Source organism: Homo sapiens, chromosome 3 (genome assembly GCF_000001405.40).
Source record: "Homo sapiens chromosome 3, GRCh38.p14 Primary Assembly".
Lineage (NCBI taxonomy): Eukaryota > Metazoa > Chordata > Mammalia > Primates > Hominidae > Homo > Homo sapiens.
The window spans coordinates 46,022,639-46,049,473 of NC_000003.12; the positions used below are offsets into that span (position 1 = coordinate 46,022,639).

The window sequence follows — 26,835 nt, forward strand, 5'->3', positions numbered from 1 at the left end:
GAGGAGTCCGTTCAGTTAGTTGTGAGGCTTAGAATTATATTTTTTATTTATAAAACTTAAATGCTTGTTAAGACAAACACCAAATAACCAATCAACACTTTTCAGAAAAATGAAACAAAATCCAGAGTCTACACAACATAACAATGTTTAGGACACAATCCAAAATTACTCAGCATATAAAGAAATAGGAAAACATGACCCATACTCAAAAGAAAAGACAATCAAGCAGCTGCCTGTGAGAGGGGCCACATGTTGGAATTTGTAAATATGTATCAAAATGTAACTAACTATTATACCTGTTCCCAAGGAAATAAAGGAAACTATATTCATAATGAATGGAGAGATAGAAAGTCTCAGCAGAGAAAGAAAAGTTATATAAAAGACCCAAAAGGAATTACAAATCAATAACAAGATATCAAGAAAAGCTTCAATAATTTGGAAATAATTTTAAAAACACCAGCGCGTGTGACGTCATGGCGCCGTGCGGGGTCGCGGCGGCGGCGCAGGGGGCGGGCCCGTGGCGCGGGGCCTGAGGAGGAAGTGGAGAGATTGTTGCTCCCTCTGCGCCCAGAGAGGACGCGGCTGCGTCGCGCTCCCCTGCGATCCCCTCCATGTTCCCTGGCCCCACCGCTCCCCTTCCTAAGGCTGCTGCTGTCTATGGAAGTAATGGAAGGACCCCTCAACCTGGCTCATCAGCAGAGCAGACGAGCCGACCGTTTATTAGCTGCAGGCAAATACGAAGAGGCGATTTCTTGTCACAAAAAGGCTGCGGCATATCTTTCTGAAGCCATGAAGCTGACACAATCTGAGCAGGCTCGTCTTTCACTGGAATTGCAAAGGGATAGCCACATGAAACAGCTCCTCCTCATCCAAGAGAGATGGAAAAGGGCCCAGCGTGAGGAAAGATTGAAAGCCTAGCAGAACACAGACAAGGATGTAGCTGCCCATCTTCAGGCATCTCACAAACTCTCTGCCGAGGATGCGGAGGGCCAGAGCCCCCTTTCTCAGAAGTACAGCCCTTCTTCAGAGAAACGCCTGCTTGAGATTCAGGGGATCTTTGACAGGGATCCAGACACACTACTATATTTACTTCAGCAAAAGAGTGAGACAGCAGAGCCATGTATTGGAAGCAAAGCCCCAGAAGATGATAAAACAATTATAGAGGAATAGGCAACCAAAATTGCAGATTTGAAGAGACGTGTGGAATTCCTTGTGGCTGAGAATGAAAGATTAAGGAAAGAAAATAACTAAAGGCTGAAAAGGCCAGACTTCTAAAAAGGTCCAGTAGAAAAGGAGCTGGATGTAGATGCTGATTTTGTAGAAACGTCAGAATTACGGAGCTTGCCGCCACATTCAGAAACTGCTACAGCCTCCTCAACCTGGCAGAAGTTTGCAGCAAATGCCGGGAAAGCCAAGGACATTCCAATCCCCAGTCTTCCTCCCTTGGATTTTACATCTCCAGAACTTCCCCTTATGGATCTCCCTGAGAATATTCTGAAAGGATTTATGAATAATTAAAATGGAAGGCCACAGAAGAGGGGAGAAGAGGAAATAATACAGTAATAGTTAATCCAGCAAAAAAAAAAAAAAAAATGAAAAGGGAAAACCACGTAGAAGGGGCATCCTGGTCCCGGAAATGTTTCATCATCTGGTGGACTGTGGGAGAATAGGCATTGCCAGGACTTGGGAAACAGTCACTGTGAAATGCGTTGCATATCTCATTCACTGACTTGAGCTAATGATTCCAACTTGATAAACACTAAACTCATGGAGGTTCAGTTTCTGCTGATACAAACCAAATGGCTACTTGGAATAATTTTTTTCAAGCAACAGTTATTTTTCTTATCTTCAGGGTTAAAATGTATAAAATATGTTATGTGTAATTAATCTATAATGCCATAAATGATAATGCAAAACCTAAATAATATGGTGGCCCGAGGGGCTGCCTTGTATTTGAAACATGCTTTCTATCATGTATTGACTGTATGCATTTTGTTAATGCCCATTTTGTTTAAATAAGGTGTGTAAGATACACACCTTATTTGTTAGTTGTAAGATATACACCTTAATTGTTAGTTATGCTTTTTTAAACAAATTACCAGTTTACATGATTAATCAGGGTGCATTTTAAGTTCTAATTTTGTTTATTGTATAATGCATCATTTGAAAATACCAAGGAGGAAATATCCTTTGTTTTTAATGATGCATGAGTGGAAGTAATGCTAGTTGGCAGTATTTGATTGTAAGAAATCAATAAAGTAATTGTGTTTTATTAAAAAAACCCAACTGACTTCTAGACTCTGAGTCAAAGAAGAAATCAAAAGGCAAAGTATAAAATATTTTGCATTGATAATAATGAAAATACCACATATCAGAATTCATGAAATGCAACTAAAGCAGTACTTGGAGAGAAATTTATAGCTTTAAATGCGTGTATTAGAAAGAATAAACGTCTAAAATCTAAGACTTAAATCAGTGACATAAGCTAGAAATAGAAGAGCTAATTAAAGTAGAAGGAAGGCATTAATAAAAATAAAAGCAGAAAAAATAAAATAGAAAATAAAATGAACAAGATCAAAATTGGTTGTTTGACAACATTTTAATACATTGATAAAATCAGCAAGGAGCAGTGGCTCATGCCTATAATTCCAATGCTTTGAAAGGCTGAGGCAGGAGAATCCCTTGAGGCCAGGAGTTTCAGGCTGCAGTGAGCTATAATGGCGCCACTGCATTCCAGTCTGGGTGTCAGAGCAAGACCCTGTCTCAAAAGAAATAAAGAAAGAGAGAGAGAGAGAGAGAAAGACCAAAAAATTGATGAAGCCTTATCTAGATTGATTGAGAACAAAGAGAAATATGTTACAGATCTTATAGACTTTACAAGAATAACAAATAAATATTATGATCAATTTTATGTTAAAAAATCCAACAACTTAAATGAAATGGATGAATTTCTTTTAACATGCAGCATATCAAAACTGACATGGGATGATATGGCAAATGTGAATAGCCCTACATTTGTTATAGAAATATAATTAACTATATAAATCCTTACCACAAAGAAAACTTTAGAACTAGAGGATTTTTCTAGTGATTTTTTTAAACATTTGGGGAAGAAATAACACCAGTTTTACACAAACTATAAGAAATAGAAATAAAGGATGGAATATTTTCTAACTCCTTTTATGAGGCCAGAATAACCCTGATACCAAAATTAGACCAACAAATTACAATAAGAGAAAACTACAGAACAATATTCCTCGTGAACATAGACAGAAAAATTCTTAACGAAATATTGGCAGATCAAATCCAGCAATACATTTTAAAAGAATAATATAACATGACCAAGTTGAGTTTATCCCAGAAATATGAGATTGTTTTAATACATGAAAATCAATTTAAGTCACCATATCAATAGAATAAAGAAAAAAACTATATGATCTTTTCTGATAAATGTAGAAAAGCATTTGACAAAGCTCAACACCCTTTGATGATATAAACTCTCAGCAAATTAGAAATAAAAGGGATATTGGACATCTATAAAAATCATTCATTTTTTTTGCTGGTTATTAATTCATTTACTCAAAAATTTCAGAGGCAGTCATGTTCTGGGCCTGGAAGCCTTTGGAGATAAAAAGGAAAATGATGTCAAATCTCAAACCCCTCCAAGTTACATTCAGTGAACTGGCTCCCTTTTGCTGGTTGTCTCTCTCCCTCCCCATCTCTGTGGCCCACCTCAACTCTAAGGGAGTGAATTTAGCTTTCTGGACTGTAATATAATTTAGATTGAGAAAGACAGCTCTAAATTATACAACCACCAGTAATAACAAGGCCTTACATAAAGATATGTAGCCAAATAAACCTCTCTACTTCTTTCAGCATAAGAAAAATATTATTTATATGTTAGGTCTACTCAAAGTATGGTTCCCAGATCCATTTTTCTTCTTCTTCTTTTTTTTTTTTTTGAGATGGAGTCTCGTTCTGTCCCCTAGTCTGGAGTGCAGTGGTGTGATCTTGGCTCACTGCAAGCTCCGTCTCCCAGATTCATGCCATTCTCCTGAATCAGCCTCCCAAGTAGCTAGGACTACAGGTGCCCGTCACCACACCTGGCTATTTTTTTGTATTTTTAGTAGAGACGGGGTTTCACCATGTTAGCCAGGATGGTCTCAATCTCCTGACCTCATGATCCACCTGCCTTGGCCTCCCAAAGTGCTGGGATTACAGGTGGGAGCCACCACGCCCAGCCAATTTTTCTTCTTTGATTTTTTTTTTTTTTGACAGGGTCTCGCCCTATCACCCATGCTGGAATGCAGTGGTGTGATCACATCTCAACCTCCTGAGCTCAAGTGATCCCCTCACCTTAGCCTCCTGAGTAGCTGGTAGTACAGATGTGTGCTACCACACCTAGCTAATTTTTTGGGGTATTTTTTGCAGAGATAGGGTCTCATCATGTTAGGTAAGGAACTCCTGGACTCAAGAAATCTGCCAGGCCAATCCGGAACTCCTGGACTTAAGCAATCTGCCAGCCTTGGCCTCCCAAAGTGCTGGAATTACAGGCATGAGCCACTGCGCCCAGCCCAGATCAGCTTTTCTGAAAAGAATGCAGATTCTTGGGAAATCCCTATACCAAAGGAATAAGAGCCTTCAGAGGTAGCTCAGGAATCAGCATATTTACTAGCCCTCCAGGTGGTTCTGATGTGCAGCAAAGCTTAAGAACTCCTGATATAGGCTGTTACAATTAGAGGAAAACATAAGTTTAAAATGTTTGTAAAGGAACTCACCTGAATCTACACCTCTTTACATGCGTCTTGAGGCAGAAATGGTGCTTCTCTGTTTCATATTTCACTTAAAGAAACTGAAACACCTGTCCTGCCCAGAAGGCTGGAGGAGGAGGATGGGAGGAGTCTCAGAGAGAGCCAGGGGGCCAGAGGGGGACAGCTAGTGAGAGAGGAGGAAGGAAGAAGCCAGTCAGGCAGGCAGTTAGGGTGGATCCTTGGTGGAACTCCTTCAAACCAAGAACAGCCTGAAAATCAAGCTGCAAGCCCTGGATAAAGAAAAGAGCCTGCATGTTTGAATAGAAACGCCTACTCCATGAATCCAGATGAACAAATTCCACTCCTTTTTTGAACATATATCCCTCTCCTTGGCACGCCTTTGTCTCATTTCACATGCTTCCTCCCGATTGGTCCTTACCTTTTACCTGTTTAACATATACCTATCTTTCTGTGATTAGCTGCTCGCCAAATTTTCATTTGCATAAAGTGTAACGTCACTTCAGCCCCTGATTGGTCCTGGGCCAAGGTCTCAGTCCAAGCTTTCACTTCAGCCCCCAATTGGTTCTTTACACTATTGTACCTCTTCCTGAGTAGTGCTTTTTCCAAGCCTACCCATAAACCAATCAGCACGTATTTCCTCATTCTAAGCCTGTAAAAACCTGTGACTCAGACTTTTAGCTAGCAACCCTCTTTTGGGTCCCCTCTCTTTGCTGAGAGCTTTTCTGTGGCTTAATAAATCCAACTCTGCCTTCTTCACTCTCCAGTGTCTGTGTGCCTTATTTTTCTTGGTCGTGGGACAAGAACTTGGAGCTCACCAGTGGGGGGAGTAAAAGAGCTGTAACACTCCCTCCCACTCACCAAACAACAGGAGTGAAACAGCTGCAACAGTAGGAGACAGTTTTTCCACATCCTTAATGAATAAAGATGTTGAGCATCTTTTTATATGTGTATTGGTCATTTGTGTATCTCTTTGTAGAAGTGTCTATTCAGAACCTTTGCCTTTTAAAAATTTGAGTTATTAGTCTTTTTATTATTAAATTGTAAGAGTTATTTCTACATTCTGGATACTAGATCCTTATCAGAGATATGATTTAAAAATAATTTATCTCATTCCTTGGGTTTCTTTTTAATTCTTCATAATACCCTTCGACACACAAATGCTTTACATCTTCTTTTTCTTTTCTTTCCTTTTTTTTTTTGAGGCAGGCCCTCACTCTGTCACCCAGGCCTGAATTCAGTGGCATGATCAGCTCACTATTGCCTTGAACTCTGGAGCTCAAGAGATACTCTCGCCTCAGCCTCCTAAGTAGCTAAGACTATAGGTACACAGCACCACATCCAGCTAATTATTTTAATTTTTTTGTAGAGACAGGGTCTCACTATATTGCCCAGACTAATCTTGGACTCTTGGCCTCAAGTGATCCTCCTGCCTTGCCCTCCCAAAGCTCTGAGATTATAGACCTGAGCCACCATGCCTGACCTGTTTTTAACTTTCACGAAATCTAATTTATAAATTATTTCTTTTGTTGCTTGTGATTTTGCTGTTGTAGTTAAGAAATCCTTGCCTAGTCAGGTTATAGGGATTTATAGCTATGGCTTAGCTCTGAACTTTCAGTTATATTCCATTGGTCTTTGCATCTATCCTTATGTCAGTACCATAGAGTTTTGATTACCTTTGTAGTAAGTCTTGAAATCACAAATCCTCCAACTTTGTTCTTTCTTCTATTCAAGATTGGAGACATATAGATCAATGAAATACAATGGGGAAAGCCATACATCTATGGTCAATTGATTTTTTGTTTGTTTGTTTTGAGACAGGTTCTCACTCTGTTGCCCCGTCTGGAGTGTAGTGGTGCGATCATGGCTCACTGCAGCTTCAATCTCCCAGGCCTAAGTGATCCTCCTACTTCAGCCTCCTGAGTAGCTGGGACTACAGGTGCACACCAACATGCCTGGCTAATTTTTATAGAGACAGGGTTTTACCATGTTTCCCAGGCTGGTCTTCAACTCCTGGGCTCAAGTGATCTGCTTGCCTCAGCCTCCCAAAGTGCTGGGATTGTCAACTGATTTTTGACAAGGGTCAAAAATCAAGACCATTTACAAGGCCATTCAGTGTTAAAAGAATATTCTTCTTAACAAATGGTGCCAGGAAAACTAGATAGTCATATACAAGACAAAGTTGTACTCTTACCTCACATCATATACAAAAATTAACTCAAAATGGATTAAAGAGCCAGATGCAAGGGCTAAAAAACCTACAACACTTTTGTGTGTCAAAGGACACTATCAAGAAATTTTAAAAGAATTTTGATGGAAATTGCATCGAATTTGTAGATCAGTTTGGGGAGTATTGCCGTTTTAACAATATTGGGTCTTCCAATCCGGGAACACTGAAAGTCCTTCTATTTACATATGTCTTCTTTAGTTTTTTTTCCACATTGTTTTGTGGTTTTCAGTGAGTAGATTTTGTGCATTCTTGGTTAAATTTATTCCTAAGTATTTTTATGCTATTGTAAATGGAATTGTTTTGTTAATTTCATTTTCAGATTGTTCATTGCTACTGTATAAAAATACAACTGATTTTTATATATTGATCTTGTACCTTGAGCTTATTTATTAGCTTTAATAGTTTTTTGTTTTTGTTTTTGTTTTTTTGGTGGATTCTTTCAGTTCTCTATGTACTATAAAGTCATGACATCTGCATATAGAAATAGTTTCACTTCTTCCTTTCCAATCTGGGTACTTTTCCCCCCACCGTGTTTAGTTGTCCTGGCTGGAACCACCAATGCAATGTCAAATAGGAGAGGACAATGGACATCATTGTCTTGTTTCTGATCTTAGGAGAAAAGCTTCTAGTCTTTCACTACAAGTATGATGTTAATTGTGGGTTTTTAATACATGCCTTTTATCAGATTAGGAAATTCCCCTCTATTTCTAATTTGTTGAGTGTTTTTATCATGAAATGATGTTGGGTTTTGTTAAATGCTTATTCTGCATCTCTTGAGTTTATTGTATGGAAATACCACAGATTTTTTTATTCCTTCACCTATTGAAGGACATCTTGGTTAATCCTATTTCTTTGAAATTATGAAAAATACTTTATGCACTATACACTATGTATAAAAAAGTATTTTATACACGATATGTATTTGAATGCAGGTTTTTGTTTACACATAGTTTTGAGCTCGATTATAACTAGGAGTGTGATTGGATTATATGATAATAATGGCAGTGGTGGGCCATCCAGAGCAGCTGCTACCATCATGCCAGCTGCAGCAGGGAGGCATGAGCGGTGGTGGCAGGAGCAGCTGCAGGAGCAGCAGTGGGGGTGGTGGGACCTCTGTGCCCTGCATCCCCATGCCCTGCATCCCTGAGGCAGCTTACTGCACACCACCCCTACCCTTGCATGGCCGGGCAGGACCTACTCTCAGGCCTGGAGCCTCTGCCGCAGCCTCAACTCATTCCCTGCCGTGTTCTGGGAGCCTGTGAGTATCTGGCCAAAGGTGTAGCTGGGACTTTCAGGGCTAGCCCTGGGAGTGTCAGGTTCATTTGTGCGGGGTTGGCCAGGGCCACCACGCCACCTGCACCTTGCCCAGAACCACTGTGGGGAAAATGCGGAGAGGAGGTGTGGCTGGGGCTGCATGCTCCACACAGCCGGCAGGAGCTGGGGACAAATGGGAGCCCTGCCCCTTAGAAGTTGGTGGGACACGGAACTCCCCAGGCACAACTGCAGCTGCTGAAGCCATGGCTGTGACTTGGGCACCCCTGTGCTCTTGGGAGCTAGGAACAGGCAGGAGCCCCGCCCTCCAAGGCACTGCTACAGCCACCCTGCTGTAGCTATGGATCCAGGCATCTCTGCACTGTCGGGGGCCTGGGAAGGTCCCCCGCTGCCCACAGGCTTGGAAGTACCTGCTCCTGCTGTTTGGCTTCTCCCCACTGTCACTGCCTGCTCTGATCTTGGAGTAAGGTTGGGGCCAAGCTTGGGTGCTGTTGCAACCTGGCCAGATGTGTGCATGCTTGGGGCAGTGCTGACATGCTAGGCCCTGTCACCTTGGCCCCCTCTGGACTTTGTGCACCGATGAGCACAGGAGGAAGGCTGAGGAGGGGGGCGCTGAGGGCAGCTCATTCCTGGCCTGCAGGCAACCCTTGGCATGAACAGCCTGAGTCCCATAAACAGTGGTGGGTGGTGAACAAGCTCCTGGGCAGAAAGGGCCAGGTCCCTGGTGAAGCCCCACCTTCAAGCTGGGGAAGGCCTGAAGCCAGGTGGCTGGGCTGACAGTCCCACGAACCACAGGGGGACCTTTTGGTGCCTTTCCTTGTTCTGGCCCATGGCCACCCATGGACTTTCTCCCCTCTGCTGCCCATAAAAACCCTGGACTCAGCCAGATTTGGGAAGAGGATGGAGAGATGATGAAGAGACAATGGGATGACCTGTCTAAGAGAGGCTACCCACTCTAGGGCCTCCTCTCTGCTGAGAGCCGCAGAGACAATGGGATAACCTGCCTGCAGAGAGGAGCTTCCCACTCCAGCATCTCCTCTCTGGTAGGAGCTGAACACTCATTGGGACACCCTGGCTGCAGAAAGGAGCTATGCACTGTGAGTCTTCTCTGAGCTGTTCTATTGCTTGATAAAGCTCTTCATCTTGTTCATGCTGCACTTCTCTGCATACTTCATTCTTCTGGTTTGCAGGACAAGAACTTTGGACCCACCAAATGGTGACGCTAAAAGAACTGTAACACAAACAGTGCTGAAACATGCCCCCTGCTTGCCATATGGGCGAAGAGGAGAGAAAAGCTGTGGTCCTTTGGGGATCCCAGACCTGGGGTGCTCCCCAAGCTAGGACCGTGACTTCCTCTTTGGGGCCTTGTGGTTCCTAGCATCTCTAAGTCTCCGTGTACCACTGCATTCCCTTACGCTAGCAGGGGAAGCTGCTTGTGGTGCATCTGGTCCAGCCATAGCTTCACAGAGAGCCAGCATCCAGGCTGGCACCTGGAGCTGCCCACCCCACAGCATAGCTGGCATGTCTCACTATGCAATGCTGGACCCCACACTTGCTCACACAGCCCTTGCCACTTCATGCCTGACTCACAGTCTCCCTTGGAGGCATGGGATACAGGCTGGTAGTGTGAGCCTAGTGCAGCCTACCAGGCTGAGTGAGCAGGATAAGCCCAGTGGGCCTGAGGAAAACTTGGGCAAAGGCACCACTGGCCACAGGTTTCCAGCCAGAAAAGAGACCCCCCAAAGATCTTGTAACAATAAGACTATGTTTAGCTTTGTAATAAACTGTAAAACTGTCTTCCAAAGTGGCTGGATCATTTTGCACTTCCATCATCAATGAATGAGCATTCTCATTGCTAGACATCCACATTCACGTTAGCATTTGATGTCAGGTTCTAAAAAATGTATCCATTCTAATACGTGCATGGGGTACCTCATTGACATTTTAATTTGTAATTCTATAATGACATATGATGTTGAGCATCTTTTCATATGCAATTTCGAATCTGTCTATCATCTGTGGTGAAGTGTCTGTTTAGATATTTTGTCCATTTTCTAAATTGGATTGTTTTCTTATCATTGAGTTCTAAGAGTTCTTTGTATATTTTGGATATAAGTCCTATATCCAAAATTTTTTTCAAATATTTTCTCCCTGTATCTGGCTTGTCTATTCATTCTTTTAACAAGGTTTTTTTTTGTAGCGCAAAAGTTTTAAATTGTAATAAAGTCTAATTTATTACTTTTTTCTTTCACAGTATTGTATCAAAAACTCCTCAGTTTGGGGTCCTACCTAGGTATCAGAAAAAGAAGGCAAAAATTAAAGAAAAACAAAAATAATAAAAACTCATAAAAAATCCAAGGCCATCTAGATTTTCTCCGGTGTTACTTGCTAGAAGTTTTGTACATTTGCATTTTGCATTTAGATTTAAGATGCATTTTGAGTTTTTTGTGAAAGGTGTAAGATCTGTGTATAGATTCCTCTTTTGCATGTAGATGTACAATTGTTCTAGCACCACTTGTTGAAAATATCCTTTATCCATTTAATTACCTATACGTCTTTGACAAAAATCAGTTGACTATATTAGTGCAAGTCTATTTCTGGGCTCTCTGTTATGTTCTGCTAGTATACTTTCACCAGTGTCACACTATCTTGATTACTGTAACTTTATATAAAGTCTTAAAGTTTGGTAATGCTAGGCCCCTGACTTTGTTCTTCTTCAGTTTTTTGTTGGTTATTCTAGGTCTTTTGTCTTTCCAAATAAGCTTTAGAATCAGTTTGTTGATATTCACAAAATAAATTGCTGGGTTTTGATTGGGATTGCATTATAGCTATAGATCAAGTTAAGAATTGCCATCTTGACAATATTGAGTCTTCTTATCCTTAAACATGGAATATTGCTCCATTCATTTAGGTCTTCGTTGATTTCTTTTATAGAGTTTTATAGTTTTCCTTAGATAAATTCTGTATATATTTTATGAAATTGATGCTCAGGCATTTAAAATTTTTTGGTGCTAATGTAAATGGTCTTGTTTTCAATTTCAAATTTCAAGTGTTCATTGCTGTTTTTTTTTTCTTTTTCTTTTAGACAGAGTCTCACTCTGTTGCCAGGCTGGAGTGCAGTGGCGTGATCCTGGCTCACTGCAACCTCTGCCTCCTGGGTTCAAGTGATTCTCCTGTATCAGCCTCTGGAGTAGCTGGGATTACAGGTGCCTGCCCTCATGCCCAGCTAATTTTTTGTATTTTTAGTAGACGGGGTTTCACCACGTTGGTCAGGATGGTCTCGAACTCCTGACATCAGGTGATCCACCCTACTTGGCCTCCCAAAGTGCTGGGATTACAGGTGTGAGCCACTGCACCTGGCCATTGCTGGTATTTAGAAGAGCCAAGTCTTTTGTATATTAGCCTTGCCTTCTGCAGGCTTGCTATATAAATTATAGGAGTTTTTTTGTGCATTCTTTGAGATTTTATACTGTGAGAACCATGTCATCTGCAAAGATATTTTTATCTCTTCTTTCCCAATCTTTATACCTTTTATTTCCTTTTTTTTTTGTTTTATTGCAACAGCTGGATGTTCAGTACAATGTTGAATAGGAATGGTGACAGAGGACATCCTTGACGTGCTCCTATTCTTAGGGGAAACACATCCAGTTTCTTACCCTTAAGAATGTTAGGTTTAGGTTTTCTTTAAAAAATTATATAAATGTATGTGTACAAGTATAGTTTTGTTACGTGCATATATTGCATAATGGTGAAGTCAGGGTTTTTATGATATATACCACCTGAATAATATACATGGTACCCACTAACTAATTTCTCATAATGAAACTGACCCAATAGTCCCATAGAGAGCTTTTTTGATGAAAAAAGCTTCTGGTTTTAAAGCTTAAAACTTGTATTTGTTTTACCTGAGTTTCTTCCTCAGGAAAGACCTTCAGGCCTCTCAAAAAAATTATCAACCACCAGAAACTCACCATATCACCGCATCCAGATAATGAGATGCCAGACCCTTCATTCATCATGATTGCCTCCTTGCCCCTCCATAGTTCCTGTTTTCTTTTTCTTTTGAGACGGAGTCTCACTCTGTCGACAGGCTGGAGTGCAGTGGTGTGATCTCGGCTCACTGCAACCTCTTCCTCCCAGGTTCAAGTGATTCTCCCGCCTCAGCCTCCTGAGTAGCTGGGATTACAGGTGCTCACCACCACAGCCCGCTAATTTTTGTGTTTTTGGTAGAGATGGGGTTTCACCATGTTGGTCAGGCTGGTCTCAAACTCCTGACCTCCTGATCTGCCCACCTAGGCCTCCCAAAGTGTCGGGATTACAGGCGTGAGCCACCATGCCTGGCCCCATAGTTCCTGTTTTCTTACACATTGTTACATTTCTTCTCTGCTATGTAAACATCTCCTTTTAGTCAGTCAGGGAGATGGATTTGAGACTAAGCTCCTATCTCCTCAGTTGCAGCACCTGATTAAAGCCTTCTTCATTGGCAATAATTGTCTCAGTCATTGGTTTTCTGTGCCATGAGCAACGGGACCTAGACGAAACTCCTGGTATTTCAGTAACAGATTTTGGTTCCCTAACCAGCAACGTGTTGCCACAGTTGCTCATTGCTCAGCTGCCATGGGCCAGGAGTCTCAAAAGCCCTCCTAAGCAGCTGCCCACTCAGTTTTGGTTGGAGATAAGTTTCAGTCTGTCTCTGGCCCCACTACAGCTGGTCTCAACTGTGTTCCTGATTGCCTATGAAGAACTGTCTTTGAAATTTGACATCTGCATCCCGATAGGTGAGTGTCCTTTGTGGGCCCAGACAGCAGGAGATGCTCCTCTCAATTTGGGAAATTTTTGAAAGAATTTCCATTTGCAGGTTGAACAAGCCCAACTGACAGTGAGGGAAGCACCCTGTTTCACTACGGACACTCTTGGGGGCTTGTTTGTAATTGTTTGTGTGTGTGTCCAGGCAAGTGAGTGTCTTTTGTGGGTACCAGATAGCAGGATGTGCTCCTCTCAATTTGGGAAATTCCTAAGGAATTTTTGTTTGCAGGTTGATTAAGCCCAACCAGTGGAGAGAGGAAGGACCCCGGCTGTTTCAATTTGGACACTCTTGGGGCTTGTTTATTGCTGCAGTGGTCAGACTGTGTTTTGGTGATTGTGTGTGTATCATGGGAAATTAGAATTACATAAACTGATATTCTTTTGTAATAATGCTTGTCCCCAATATTGTTTGGAATCGGAGTTTGCTGTTGAATGAGAAAGTGGGATGGAGTTTCCTGTATCCAGGCTTTTATGTTGCTGTTCTGAGCAGGTTGGGCCTGGTTAATAGGTTCCAGGTGGTTTTCTGTGGTGCTGTTTGGCCCCAGTGTTCCTTGGAGTCTGAGGAGGTTTGGCCTTTAAAAATCAAACTGCTATGGAAACTGCTTTACCCAAAATTTTGGTTCACACCCTATGTTGGATTACATATGGGGCAAATAAAGTGTAACCACGTAAACCAATGACTTTGTATGTGTGCATATGCATGTCTAGATGTGTTTATGTATGTACATTTATTATGCTATGTCTTTTTGTCTAACAAATTGGCTTGTAAACAAAACAGAACTCATAAATTAAGTAAGCCCAAAGTATTTTTCAAGTTCACATGACTTAAGTAAATCTTTAATAAATGAACTGGCTTTAAAAATATTAATAAAATAAAAATAGGAATGTCTTAAGAATTGTTAACATATATTTTTGTTTGGGCTTTATATTTGTCTCTGCTAGATATTTTGAGGTATCAGGGTTTGGCACAGGTTATAAAATGATAAACCTAGCCAGAACAAAATGATCTTTGTAGGAATTTTTTAATAAGTAAGACTAATTTAATGTTATTGGTTTAATGAAAACAGCTGAATCTTCTGAGTTACTGGTGAAAATGCCCTTGTAGTTAACTTAAAGTTCTTATTTAGGTAAACACCTGATATTCACAGGTTATAAAATGGTTAACAAGGAAATAAATAATGCATAAGTAATCGAGATAAACTGCCAAAAATAAATAAAAAATGTGAGTAAGTGCTATAGGTGAAGTTTTTGTGTAACTTATAATCTTAAAAGTTATTTTCAATGCTTATTGGATGCCTGAGTCATTTCCAATTAAGGAAGGGTTATGATATCGGGAAATATATTTCTAAAAATTATAGAATTGTTCTCATTTATAAAATGCTAATATCTGGTAGGCAGTTGAGGGTTTCTTGCCTCATAGTATTTCACTAAAATTTAGGGTTACTAAGTATAAGAATTATATTAATTCTGTATATAAAAGCTACCCAAAAATGTGTGTTCTTAGTGAGAAAAAGAATAATTTTGTCTAATTCAGGAGTTATCTGAATGTTAATTCAAACTATGGACTTGAAAATGTTATTTATGAAACAAGGTAGAAAGGAACCAGTAAATAGGGGAGAGAGATATGAAGAAAGTTATGAATGTGACAACGTATTTTTGGTGAGAAAGGTTATAAAGAAAAGAGAAAAATATTGTGTGAGAAAGGTTATAAAGAAAAGAGAAAAATATTGTATGAGAAAGATCTTGTATGGTGAATTTTTGTCCTAAAATAAAATGACTAGTTATTTAAAAAAGAAAATAAAATTTAGGACAAAATAAGAAGTCCAAAAGTATCATAGATGGTCTATGTAAGTCATATGTTGCTTTTTCCTGGTTCTCTGTGTTTCTATCTTTATGCACACACAGAGAAAATAGAAAGTTGAAAAAGTTTAGATAGTAAAATATCCCTTAAAACCTGATAGAAAATTGGAAAAATTTGACTGATTAACATTGCTCATAGTTAAAGCTCTTAGTTTTGATGAAGATAAAATAAATATTATAAAGAAATATACTGTCAGTTTGGCAATTCTTTTTTAATACAATTAACTGTGAAGCCAGATTTAGCATGGAGCCAAATTTCACATACATGCTTGCATTGCTTCACAGTATATTTGCTATTTTGCATAGATAGTACTGGTACTAAGGTACTTGTACGGGTCATGTACCTAGATGAATTTCTTAATTTCAAAAAATGTATAGTGCTATCAGTTGACTTGAAGACGTTAATCTGTGCACCAGGAATAAAATATATGTTGTGTGCACGGGTTTGTTTTTTGTTTTTTTTTTTTTTTGAGAGGGAGTCTTGCTCTGTCACCCAGGCTGGAGTGCAATGGTGCAATCTTGGCTCACTGCAAACTCTGCCTCCCAGGTTCAAGCAATTTTTCTGCCTCAGCCTCCCAAGTAGCTGAGATTACAGGCACGTGCCACCATGCCTTGTATTTTTCTGAGAGGTGGGGTTTCACTATGTTGGCCAGGCTTGTCTGGAATTCCTGACCTCAGGTGATCTGCCAGGCTTGGTCTCCCAAAGTGCTGGGATTACAGGCATGAACCACCGTGCCTGGCCGTGTGTGTGTTTTTTTAACCTCTAGGTAACACTTTAGCCTCCAAGGTAAACTGAGTAGGATAAAAATTTGGGGTTGGTTTCCTGTTTATTTTTGCTTCTAATTTTCAATTATTGTTGTTTATTCTCTTTTGGGTTTTACTTATGTATACATCTCTATAAAACTATTGATGTTTTTAGTTTGCAATTGAAGGCTTTTATTTGGTTCTTTGAATAGACATTTTGTTTCCTATGCATTTCTAACGAGTCATCATTTGTTCTGTTTATCCAGAATTCCTAGGCTACCTTTGTCAAGCCTCCAAAAATTAATAAACACCAGCCATTTAACATTTGATTGGTTTTGCTTACCCCTGATGATCTTGAGAACTATGAGAGATTTAAAGATCCTGGCCAAAAAATACAAGACTTATTTTTACAAGTTCTAAGCAGAAATAGTATACTATTTATTTTACTGGAAAAAGTAGGTGAGAATAATTTCCAAGGTAATTCAATTCAATCAACAATTTGAGTTGGTTTTACATCTTTTCCTGTAATGAGGGAAAACTGTGATACGGCTATAAACTTAATGCTAAGGAAAGATTGGCCTTATCCTTAAGTAAATTATATTGATTGGAATTTTTTTCAAATTAATTACAATTAAGTGATATTCACTTTGATTAAGTGGTTAAAAAAAAAAAAGTGAGACTTTCCAGTTATCTTTGACCCAAAGCCATTTATCACTGATGGGTCCTCATGTGTGTACTTGAAAACAACATATGTGCAAGTGTTTCACTGGTTTGAAGATTTTTGTGGTGAAAGTTACCTAATCAGCTGTCAGTACTGTATCTAGAAACCAATCTTGGAAATGTGTGATGATGCTCTTTTAAATAGCTGAAAAGAAATTATTGTGTGCTTTACTTTGTTCTTGTTTTGTTGTACGGTATTTAAGTGAAAGGAGATATTCTCATACTGAATTTGCAAAACTGATACTTGCATTTACCATTTCTTTAATGATGGAAAGTTAATTGTCTTACTTTGATAAGTTTGGCATAGGACCTATCACATTTTTTAATGCTTTTAGCCATAGTTCTGTCACTAGAATGCTAGCAATTAGACATGTGCAATGCGTAACCTAACTACTTTAATCCGGTGGTTTGAAGTACTGCAGGCAGTCACTCCTAGACACCAAATCACAATGTTTTAATTTGTGACATGTTAGAATGATAGGACTTTCTGTAGTATAAATAATCTATTAAGTAATCCTTGTGCTGTTAAGTTACAGGCCTTTGACTCCTGAGTCTGAAAAAGGCACTGACCCCTGCAAAATCTTGAGCATTAACACCATTTGAAGCCTTATTTTCAGACCCAAGAGAAGGTGACAATCAAAATGAACGGTTTTCCTAAGACGCAGGTTCAGAAATTAAAACTATTCCATCCCTCTAGGCCCAGGGACTATTGTAGAAGAGGTAGGTCCATGATATTGCAAGGATCAATTTTGAGGGATAAGATTAGTATAGAGTTTTTCTATAAATTAAACAATATCAAAATCACACTTACGCAAGGCCAGTGTCTGGGCCAGTGTGTCAGAATAACAGGGTTTTCTAGGAGCATTGATCTGTTTTTCAATAGAAAATTATAAAAGGTTACAAAAGGTTTATGGAAATCTTACCTTATGGTAAAACTGATTAAAATTAGATTTGTTTATAAGGTTTTATTAAAGTTAGCTTTAACGTTAATAATACCCCATACAAAGGTAAAATATGGTTTTCTCTTTTGAACACAATTTTCATGCAAGAGATAATAAGAGACTTTTGTTTACCTTTTGAGTAAAACCACAGAAGAACAAAATAAAGGAAGGGAGACAGGTTTATTGACCTCATGCCTTTTTTATTAGGTCTTACTGTATAGGAAACGGACTCCTCTTTATCAAAGAGTAAACATTTTATATTATAATTTTGGCTAAATAAATGATTATTTTATAGTAATTTGTGATCCTATTTTGTTATATTAAGTGTTGTAAGCCTTTGATATTTGACAGACTTTACAATAGCAAAATTTCAAGTTCCAAATTCAGTCTTTTTGACCTCAAACTAACTTTTTTGGATGTTAAATTCCCTGAAGTCCAAGAGAGATCTATTAGGCTTATTAGGCTTATTTTATAAGTTAGAATTATACAGCAAGCATTGTCAAATGTGAAGTGGTATTTAACTTTCTTTGGGTTATAGTTATATAGATATGTTGCTAATGTGTGTTCCAGGATTATATGATATTCCTGAAATTCTGATATGTCTTAATATATGTTGTCAGTAATAATTACGATTATTATGTTAAATTGTTGTATGCCACAGAAATAACCAAATTTCCTTGTCAACTGTGTCTTTGGCTATGGCTCCTAAGACTTTTGTCATCTGTAATTGTTATTTTGCCTTGATGCTCCTCAAAAAGTGACTTATAATCAGCTTCAGTCTAGGGCTTGATTCTTTGGAAGAGTTCATGAAAAGGACTCTTGAATGCATGTGTCTGATAACTCTGAAGAATTAGATTAGAGAGAAAATTTGTAGGACACTAATTGAAAGGCTGATGTGTTCATAAAGATTGCTAGCCCAGTGTGAAGCAGAGCAGGAGTTGATTGCATGGATCAAACTAATGGAGGACTAAAATATTTTTTATGGCTTTTTTTGTTTGAAATATTGCCGATTCTTTTTTGTTTGTTTTTCAGAGTCTGCAGAATTTTTTTCTTTTGAGCCATTTATAGCCTTTAAATATGCTTTGTATATTGAGCAGCGTATAGTTTTATAAACAGAATTTGAGGCATATTTCTCTCTCTGCCTAATTTCTCCAGAATTTGTAAACTATTTGTGAATATTCCTGATTCATGGCAATGTGTTTATTTGCATAAGTTCAATAAGAAGCTGTTTTCTCTTATAATGGGACACAGTTGGAGGAATTGGTTATTTTCTAAGGGCTTTGACTGAAATGGCCTTGCGAGAGGTTCCAGCAAAGCCAATTTAGGAGAGCCTATGTGGACAATGATTCTTGTTGCACTTTGTGTGAGTAATCAGGCCAAGTAGAAGGGTCTGGAGCTTATTTTGCTGGTAAATTGGTCCTGCTATGATTTGTCTTTGGTGGAACTGAGGGCCTGGAGAGAGAAAGATTGTGTTTCAGATGAAAACTCTATAGTAGATTAATCTTTGATTTCTGGGTGGCTGCAAGGCCACCCATGGTATAGACCTTCCCACGAAGCCCCTCCTTAGCATGAAGCAGCCAGAAAGATCAATGACCAGATTCCCCATGATTGAGGAATTTATAAATAGAAAGGGGGGACTGAAGCCGACCCAGTGATCGCATAGACAGTTGTTTTTGGATAAACATAGAAATTGATCCTTCTGGTCTTAAAGCTTGAAACTTACATTTGTTTTAGCTGAGTTCCTTCCCCAGGAAAGGATCCCCTGGTCTCCCAAAAAGTATCAAATAACTGAAGCTCACCAGATCATAGTATTCAGACAATGAAACACCAGCCTTCTCATTTATCATACTTGCTTCCTTGCTACTCCCTAGTTCCTGTTTTCTTGTACATTGTTATATGTCTTCCCTGCTATATAAACCCCCTAGTTTTAGTTGGTCAGGGAGATGGATTTGAGACTGAGCTCCCATTTCCTCAGCTTCAGCACCCAATTAACACCTTCTTCCTTGGCAATATTCATTGTCTCCGTGACTGGCTTTCTGTGAGGTAAGCAGTGGAACCCAGAGTGAACCACTGGTGTTTCAGTAACACAACTATTATGGCAGATAAGAAATCATAAGGGAAAATAGGAGATATCTTTAGGTGAGTGAAAAGAAAAACGCATGTCAAAACTTATGTGATGCTGCTTTTAAAGCAGTGCTCAGAGGGAAATTTATACTGTAAATGCCTATACTTTATAAAGAAGAAATATCTCAAATCAACAACCTAACTTTATACTCTAAGGAACTAGAAAAAGAAGAGCAAACTAACCCAATGCTAGCAGAAGGAAGGAACAAAAAAGAGTAGAGTAGAAATAATCAAATGAGAGAATAGAAAACAATAGAGAAAATAAACAGAATCAAAGTTTGCTCTTTAAAAAAAATTGACAAATATTTAGCTATATTGAGTAAAGAGACAGTTAGAGATATATAGAGAGAGAACTCCAATTACTAATATCAGAAAGGAAAGTGGGGACATTACTACTGATTTTATAGAAATAGAAAAGATTATGAGAGAATATGATGAACAATTGAAGGCCAACAAATTGGGTAACTGATAAAATGGACCGATTCTTAAGAAGATGCAATCTACCAAAACTGACTGAAGAAGAAATAGAAAACCTGAATGGACCTATAACAAGAAAAGATATTGAATCAGTAATCAAAAACTTCCCAATAAAGAAAAGTCCAAGACTAGTTGGCTTTGTTGGTGAATTCTACCAAACATTTAAAGAAGAATTAACTCCAGTCCTTCTCAAGCCCTTCCAAAAAATTGAAGAGAAGGGAACAGTTCTTAATCTATATCTGTGAGGCCAGCATTACTGTGATACCAAAGCCAAAGACACTACAAGAAAAGAAAACTGAAGTCCAATATCCTTCATGAATATAGATGCAAAAATCCTCAACAAAATACTAGCAAGCTGAATTCAACAACATATTAAAAGAGCTATATACTTGGATTAAGAGAGATTTATCCCTGAATGCAAGAGTGGTGGTTCAATATAAAAAAATCAATAATGTAATGCATCACTTTAATAGAATATAAGGATAAAATCATGTGATCATCTCAATTGATGCACAGAAAGCACTTGACAAAATTAAATACCCTTTCATGATAAAAACACTCAGTAAATTATCACCAGGGCCAGGTGTGGTGGCTTATGCCTGTAACCCCAGCACTTTGGGAGGCTGAGGCAGGCAGATCACCTGAGGTCAGGAGTTTAAGACCAGCCTGGCCAACATGGAGAAACCCCGTCTCTACTAAAAATACAAAAATTAGCCAACACGGTGGTCTATATCCTATAATCCCAGCTACTCGGCAGGCTGAGGTAGGAGAATTGCTTGAACCCAGGAGGCAGAGGTTGCAGTGAGCCGAGATCACACCACTGCATTCCAGCCTGGGCAACAGAGCGAGACCCCATCTCAAAAAACCAAACCAAACCAAAACAAAAAAGTATGACTAAGAAATACTTCAACATGATAAAGTCCATATATGAAAAACCAACAGCTGATCTTATACTCACTGGTAAAAGATTGAAAACGTTTGCCCTAAGATCAGGAATAAAATAAGAATGCCTACTTACAGGCCAGGTGTGATGGCTTACTCCTGTGATCTCAGCACTTTTGGAGGCCAAGGCAGGAGGATTGCTTGAGCTCAGGAGTTTGAGACCAGCCTGGGCAACATAGTGAGACCTCATCTCTACACACACACACACACACACACACACACACACACACACACACACAAGAATGCCTACTTACACTACTTCTATTCAACATAATACTAAAAGGTCTAGCCAGAAAAATTAGAGAATGTTTTTTTAAAGCATACAAATTGAAAACAAAGAAGTAAAATTATGTGTGTTAACATGATGGTTCCAATTTCTACACATTCTTGCCAACACTTGTTGTTTTCCACTTTTTTATAGTAGCCATCCTAGTGGGTATGAAGTGGTACCCCATTGTGGTTTTTTTTGTTTGTTTTGTTTTTGTTTTTTGAGACAGAGTCTTGCTCTGTCACCCAGGCTAGAGTGCAGTGGTGCAATCTCAGCTCACTGCAAACTCCACCTCCCATGTTCAAGCAATTCCCCTGCCTCAGCCTCCCAGGTAGCTGGGATTATAGGTGTGAGCCACCACACCCAGCTAATTTTTGTATTTTTAGTAGAGATGGGGTTTCACCATGTTGGTCTCAAACACCTGACCTCAGGTGATCTGCTCTCTTTGGCCTCCCAAAGTGCTGGGATTACAGGGATGAGCCACCATGCCTGGCCCTCATTGTGGTTTTGATTTTGTGTTTCTCTGGTGACTTATTATATTGAGTACCTTTTTATGTGCTTGTTAGCTATTTGTATAATATATATTTGGAGAAAAGTCTATACAAGTCCTTTGCCCACTTTTAATTAGGTTGTCAGTTTTATTATTGTTGAGTTGTAGCAGTTTTTTTAATATACTCTGGTATTATGTGTATAATTTGCAAATATTTTCTCCCATTCTGTACATTGTCAATAAAATTGAAAACAAGAAATCAATAGAGAAAATAAATGAAACTAAAATCTAGTTCTTTGAAACAAATCAATAAAATTGATTAATCTCTAGACCAGCTTACACAGAAAAAAAGACACAGATTACTTATAGCAGAAATGAAAAGAGGAGTCATTACTACTAATCCCATGGATATTAGAAATATGATAAAGAAATAATGAACAACTCTATGCCTGCAAATCCGATAACTTAGATGAAATAGACCAATTCCTTGAAAAATACAAACTACCAAAACTCACACAAGGAGAAATACAGAATATGGGTAGGCCTATAGCTATTAAACAAATTAAATCAATAATTAATAACCTGTCCAAAAGGTATCCAGCCTGGGTGACAGAGGGAGACACTACTTAATCAGTGAAGTTATTAAGCTTTCTTAATTTTCTACACTTTCTCCTAGAAAATAAAAGCAGAAGGAACATTTATGAACTCATTCTATGAGGCCAGCATTACCCTAATACCAAACCAGATAAACACATTACAAGAAAGGAAAAATACAAACCAGTATCTCTCATAAACATAGACGCAAAAAGCCTCAAAAATATTGTCAAAAAAAACCCCTAAATGTATTAAAAGAATTAGGCTGGGTGGGGTGGCCCACACCTGTAATCCCAGCACTTTGGGAGGCTGAATTGGGTGGATCATGAGGTCAGGAGTTCAATACCAGCCTGGCCCAGATGGTGAAACCTCGTCTCTACCAAAAATACAAAAAAAAATTGGTGGGTGCCTGTAATCCCAACTACTCGGGAGGCTGAGGCAGAGAATTGCTTGAACTCAGGAGGCAGAGGTTGCAGTGAGCCGAGATCGCGCCAGAGTGAGACTCCATCTTGGGAAAAAAAAAAAGAAAGAATTAAATACCACCACCAACTGGGATACATTCCAGATATACAAGTCTGGTTGAAAATTTGAAAATCAATTAATGTAATCCATCACATCAGCAGAGTAAAGGAGAGAAATCATATGATCATATCAATATAGATACAGAAAAAAGCATTCAACATAATTCAACACTCATTCATGATAAACACTCTCAGCAAACTAGAAATATATGAGAACTTCCTCAACATGATAAAAAAAACTTTTTTTAAAAACCTAAAGCCACAATAAAATATCATCTTACACCAGTCAGAATGGCTATTAGTTAAAAGGTTAAAAATAGCAGATGTTGGTGAGGATGTGGAGAAAAGGGAACTCCTAAACACTGTTGATGGGAATGTAAATTAGTACAACCTCTATAGAAAATAGTATGGAGATTTCTTAAAGAACCAAACATAAAGCTACCGTTGGATCCTGCAATCCCACTCCTAGGTATGTACCCAAAAGGAAAGAAATTATTATATCAAAAAGCACCTAAACTCATATGTTTATTGAAGTACTATTCACAAAGGCAAAGATATGGAATCAATCTAAGTGTCCATCAACAGGTGATTGGATAAAGAAAATGTAGTATATAAGCACAATGGAATACCATTCAGCTGTTAAAAAGAATAAAATCATGTCTTTTGCAGCAACATGGAGAGAACTGGAGGCCATTATCTTAAGTGAAACAAGTGAGACACAGAAAGATAAATATTGCACGTTCTCACTTACAAGTGGTATAACCTGCATGGACCTAGGGGGACTGAACAAAGGGGGCGAACGCAGGAATAAAAGACAAAGATGAAAGAGTATATTTGGAAGAAGGGGTCAGGGGGCACCTTGCCTCTAGTGGACAAGGGCCCTGAGCTTTACACAGCCCTCCATATTTATTAGGCAAAAGAGATAGCGAGAAGGGTGGCGTGGAAAAGGGGTCGGCTGCTCGGTCCAGAGTAGGCTTGCAAGACTGCATTCTCTAGATGTCCCAGTAGATAACCTTAAGGAACTCAGTGCCAGGAAGTGACTGCCTTCAGCAAACCATCTGGCAGTGAGAGCAGTCGTGAGTTTGCCCACATCCTGCATTCATGATAAACAGTTTGCTGTTTGATCATATAGCCTCCAGTGGAATGCTGAGTTGGTCATGTCCCATGGGCCTTTGGCTCCCTGCATATCCCCCTTTCTGTTTATGTATTAATTGAAAGAATGTAAGGCCAGGCTGAGCAGCTCTCATTTTTTGATTGGCAGTCCATCTGAGTTTACAGACTATAAACAGAAGACAGAGACAAAAAAACATTATTCCAAGAACTACATATAAGATGTTAATGTGGTGCTTTAGATAGGTCCAAGGGTTGAGGCTCTCCAGGCCTTCCTGGAATTTGGTCCAGTCTTCTAAAGAAGGCTGAAACTCTTGAGTTTGCCTATTTAAATCAAGAATTTTGTTTTATAATTCACCAATATCAAAGGTGATGTTGGATGTGAAAGCTCCCTGCAAATGGGCTTTCACAAGGTCCCATGGATACTCACTTTGGTTATATTTTAAGTTGGTTACACAAATATGAGTGTGATTAAAATGACAACGCAATTGCTGCTGCAATTGCAAGCTTTGTGCTTTTCCCCTAACCATAGAACCGTGGATTTCAACATTGCCACTTCAGTTTGTAACTCAGTGTTAATTTTATTCTGAAGTAGCCACACTTGGTAGGCTGTGTGCATCCATTTCTCCACATACTGAGCTGTTTGAATAGAATTATGCAAAGCTACAGAAGACATCACAACAGAAGTTATTAGTGTGACCAAGGAAACAATAGCAAAAATTATCAGGCCCAAGGCTCTACAGACACGATGAGTAAGCTAAGTTAGAAGAAGTTTCACAAAATGCAAAGCAGGTGTGGCAGCCCAAGGCTCGGACAGATTAACAGGAATCCATAGCCAAGGGATGCAACCTAAAATCATCAAAGTAGAGATACTACGTGTTTGCAATGTGCTATGATTAATGCAGTGATATAACTGGCAAGATTTACAGGTCAATTTGGTATTGTTTACCTGGAGCTGGTCCTTCTTAGCTGCCAAAAAGACATAAGGATTAAAAACACAAACTGTAAATTGAGTGGTGATATTCTTTACAAATGTAACATTAAGACTGTGTGGCTTACTATTGCTATTATTGGATAGTATTCCAACCCAGATGTTGCTATTCATAAATGGGAGTGCTGCATTCCATATTGTCTCTTGAATTGGTCCTTTCCTTCCTAGATAATGCCACTGAGGAAGAGGTGGGCTAAAGCCTGCTCCATGCCAAGCAATCTGGGTGGCAGACTGGGATTGGATGCCAGTGTTGTATAAAGAAGAAGAATTAAAAGCTTGCCACCAATGCCAGCACAGTTTGTGCCATGATTTCTGATTTTTGTCTTTTCCATCTAATTGACCTTTAGGTCCGCAATGTCTCCAGTTAACATAGATTGTTTTCTAGCCAGTGGGCCAGGACAGGGGGTCCATGGACGGGGGTAGGAACTATTGAAGGGAATCCATTCTGTATAGTCAGCACAATTAGGGCGACTGGGCCGGGAATGGTTGATTAGCACACCAGTTACGTTAATAGAACCAAGACTTAATAAGTACATGATTTTACCATAGTGACTCAACCATGTTTGAGCTTGAATTGTAAGACAGCTATGGCTGAGTGACGTTTTTGTGGTGATACACAAAGGGAGCCCTTCCAGTGGAGCGGTATAATTAATGACATTATTCTGAGAGTCTAACTGTTCTATGTCAGGGGGAGTTTGGGATCCTGGAGCCCACTCTCCCTGATTGTGATAAATCTCAGGAGGAGTGTCACTCCAAAGTACAGGTCGTACTGCTGGGGGATTGGGAACATATGCCTAATATGTTTTTGCTTCTGCACAGGAAAACATACCGCACAGGACATTATGGCTAACATGGCCAAGAACATGGAATCAGGGGTTTTTGCCTGTCCCTGACACTCCAGTAGTTTCTCAGTTTCCTGTGTGGCTTTCTTGAGTTGTCCCCAGGTTACGGGGGTTGATGTCATTGTGATTCTGGTCGGCCTTCTCTCCCTCTTTGCACTCAGGCTCAGCTGGCTCATGGCTCGTACCGGAGGGACTGGGCCCATGGTTGGCCACCCTGGGTTCCTCTAGTCTCCCATTATGTGGTCGCATGCACCTTGAGGGCACCCACACGGCTTGTCCATCTCCTGTGAAAACACAAGCATATCCTCTTCCCCACTTCAGTAAACCCACCAGACCTTTTCATTGTCCTTCTTCCAGGGATTTCCGTAACATTTTTGGATAAACTTTCCTCTTTTCCTCTAACACTTGCCAATGTCTTTTTGCCGGAGTCTTACCATCCATACCAGGAGTCAAAAAATTTAAAGTAAATAAGGCTAAATATAGTTTTGATTGAGGTGGTAGTTGGCCTCCTATACCCACTTTTTGTCTTTTCAACATGCATTGTAATGTTTGATGTGCCTGCTCTATAATGCCTTGTCCTCTAGGATTATAAGGAATTCCTGTTTTATGGGTTATAGCCCAAAGCTGCAAGAAATTTTTAAAAGCGTGACTAGTATAAGCGGGTCCATTGCCAGTTTTTAATTGTTTAGGTATCCCCATATGAGCAAATGGTGATAGGCAATGTCACTGTACATGACCAGCTGTCTCACCTGTTTGGCACATAACATGCAGCGTATGAAAATAAGTGTCTATAGTCACATGAACATAGCTTACCAAAGGTTGCTGTGTGTGTAACATCCATTTGCCAAATTTCATTTGGAGCCAAACCTCGTGGATTACATCCTTCTACAGGTGTGGCTCCAGGGGCATGCTGGCAAGTAGGACAGGTTTGTGTTATAGCCCTAATATGCCTGTGAGATAAATGGAACATGTGAGTAAGGGCGGAAGTATTTTGGTGCAGAAGCGCATGAGATGCTTGAGCTTGCTGAAACACAGAACCAATCAGTTTGTCTGCTTTCTCATTACCTAGAGATAGTGGCCCAGGAAGTTGTGTGTGAGAATAAATATGAGAAATATGAAAAGAAGCTGCATGAG

The 26,835-nt window shown here is 39.5% G+C and overlaps 1 protein-coding gene and 1 pseudogene across 3 annotated transcripts in view, besides 2 other annotated features; one reads left to right on the forward strand and one right to left on the reverse strand.

Annotated features, from left to right (window-relative positions):
* XCR1 (X-C motif chemokine receptor 1) overlaps positions 1–26,835 on the reverse strand; it is a 68,838-nt gene that overhangs the window by 5,632 nt on the left and 36,371 nt on the right. For 2 of the 3 annotated variants that reach the window (NM_001024644.2, NM_005283.3), the window contains exon 1: positions 4,779–4,845. The exons of the other annotated variant lie outside the window; for it this stretch is intronic. The gene's annotated coding sequence lies outside the window, so the exon portion shown is untranslated. Of the gene's footprint in view, positions 1–4,778; positions 4,846–26,835 lie in introns of those variants that run through there. 3 annotated transcript variants of the gene reach the window in all.
* On the forward strand, positions 474–2,273 carry NRBF2P2 (nuclear receptor binding factor 2 pseudogene 2; annotated as a pseudogene).
* Positions 7,414–7,583: a silencer, noted in NCBI's record as "silent region_14287". NCBI's record gives its function as "represses an Ori minimal core promoter by ATAC-STARR-seq in GM12878 lymphoblastoid cells {active_cell/tissue: GM12878}" and the evidence as "EXISTENCE:reporter gene assay evidence [ECO:0000049][PMID:35858748]".
* Positions 8,183–8,683: an enhancer, noted in NCBI's record as "H3K4me1 hESC enhancer chr3:46072313-46072813 (GRCh37/hg19 assembly coordinates)". NCBI's record gives its function as "activates a minimal SCP1, AML or CMV promoter by ChIP-STARR-seq in primed H9 embryonic stem cells {active_cell/tissue: H9 hESC(primed)}" and the evidence as "EXISTENCE:reporter gene assay evidence [ECO:0000049][PMID:30033119]".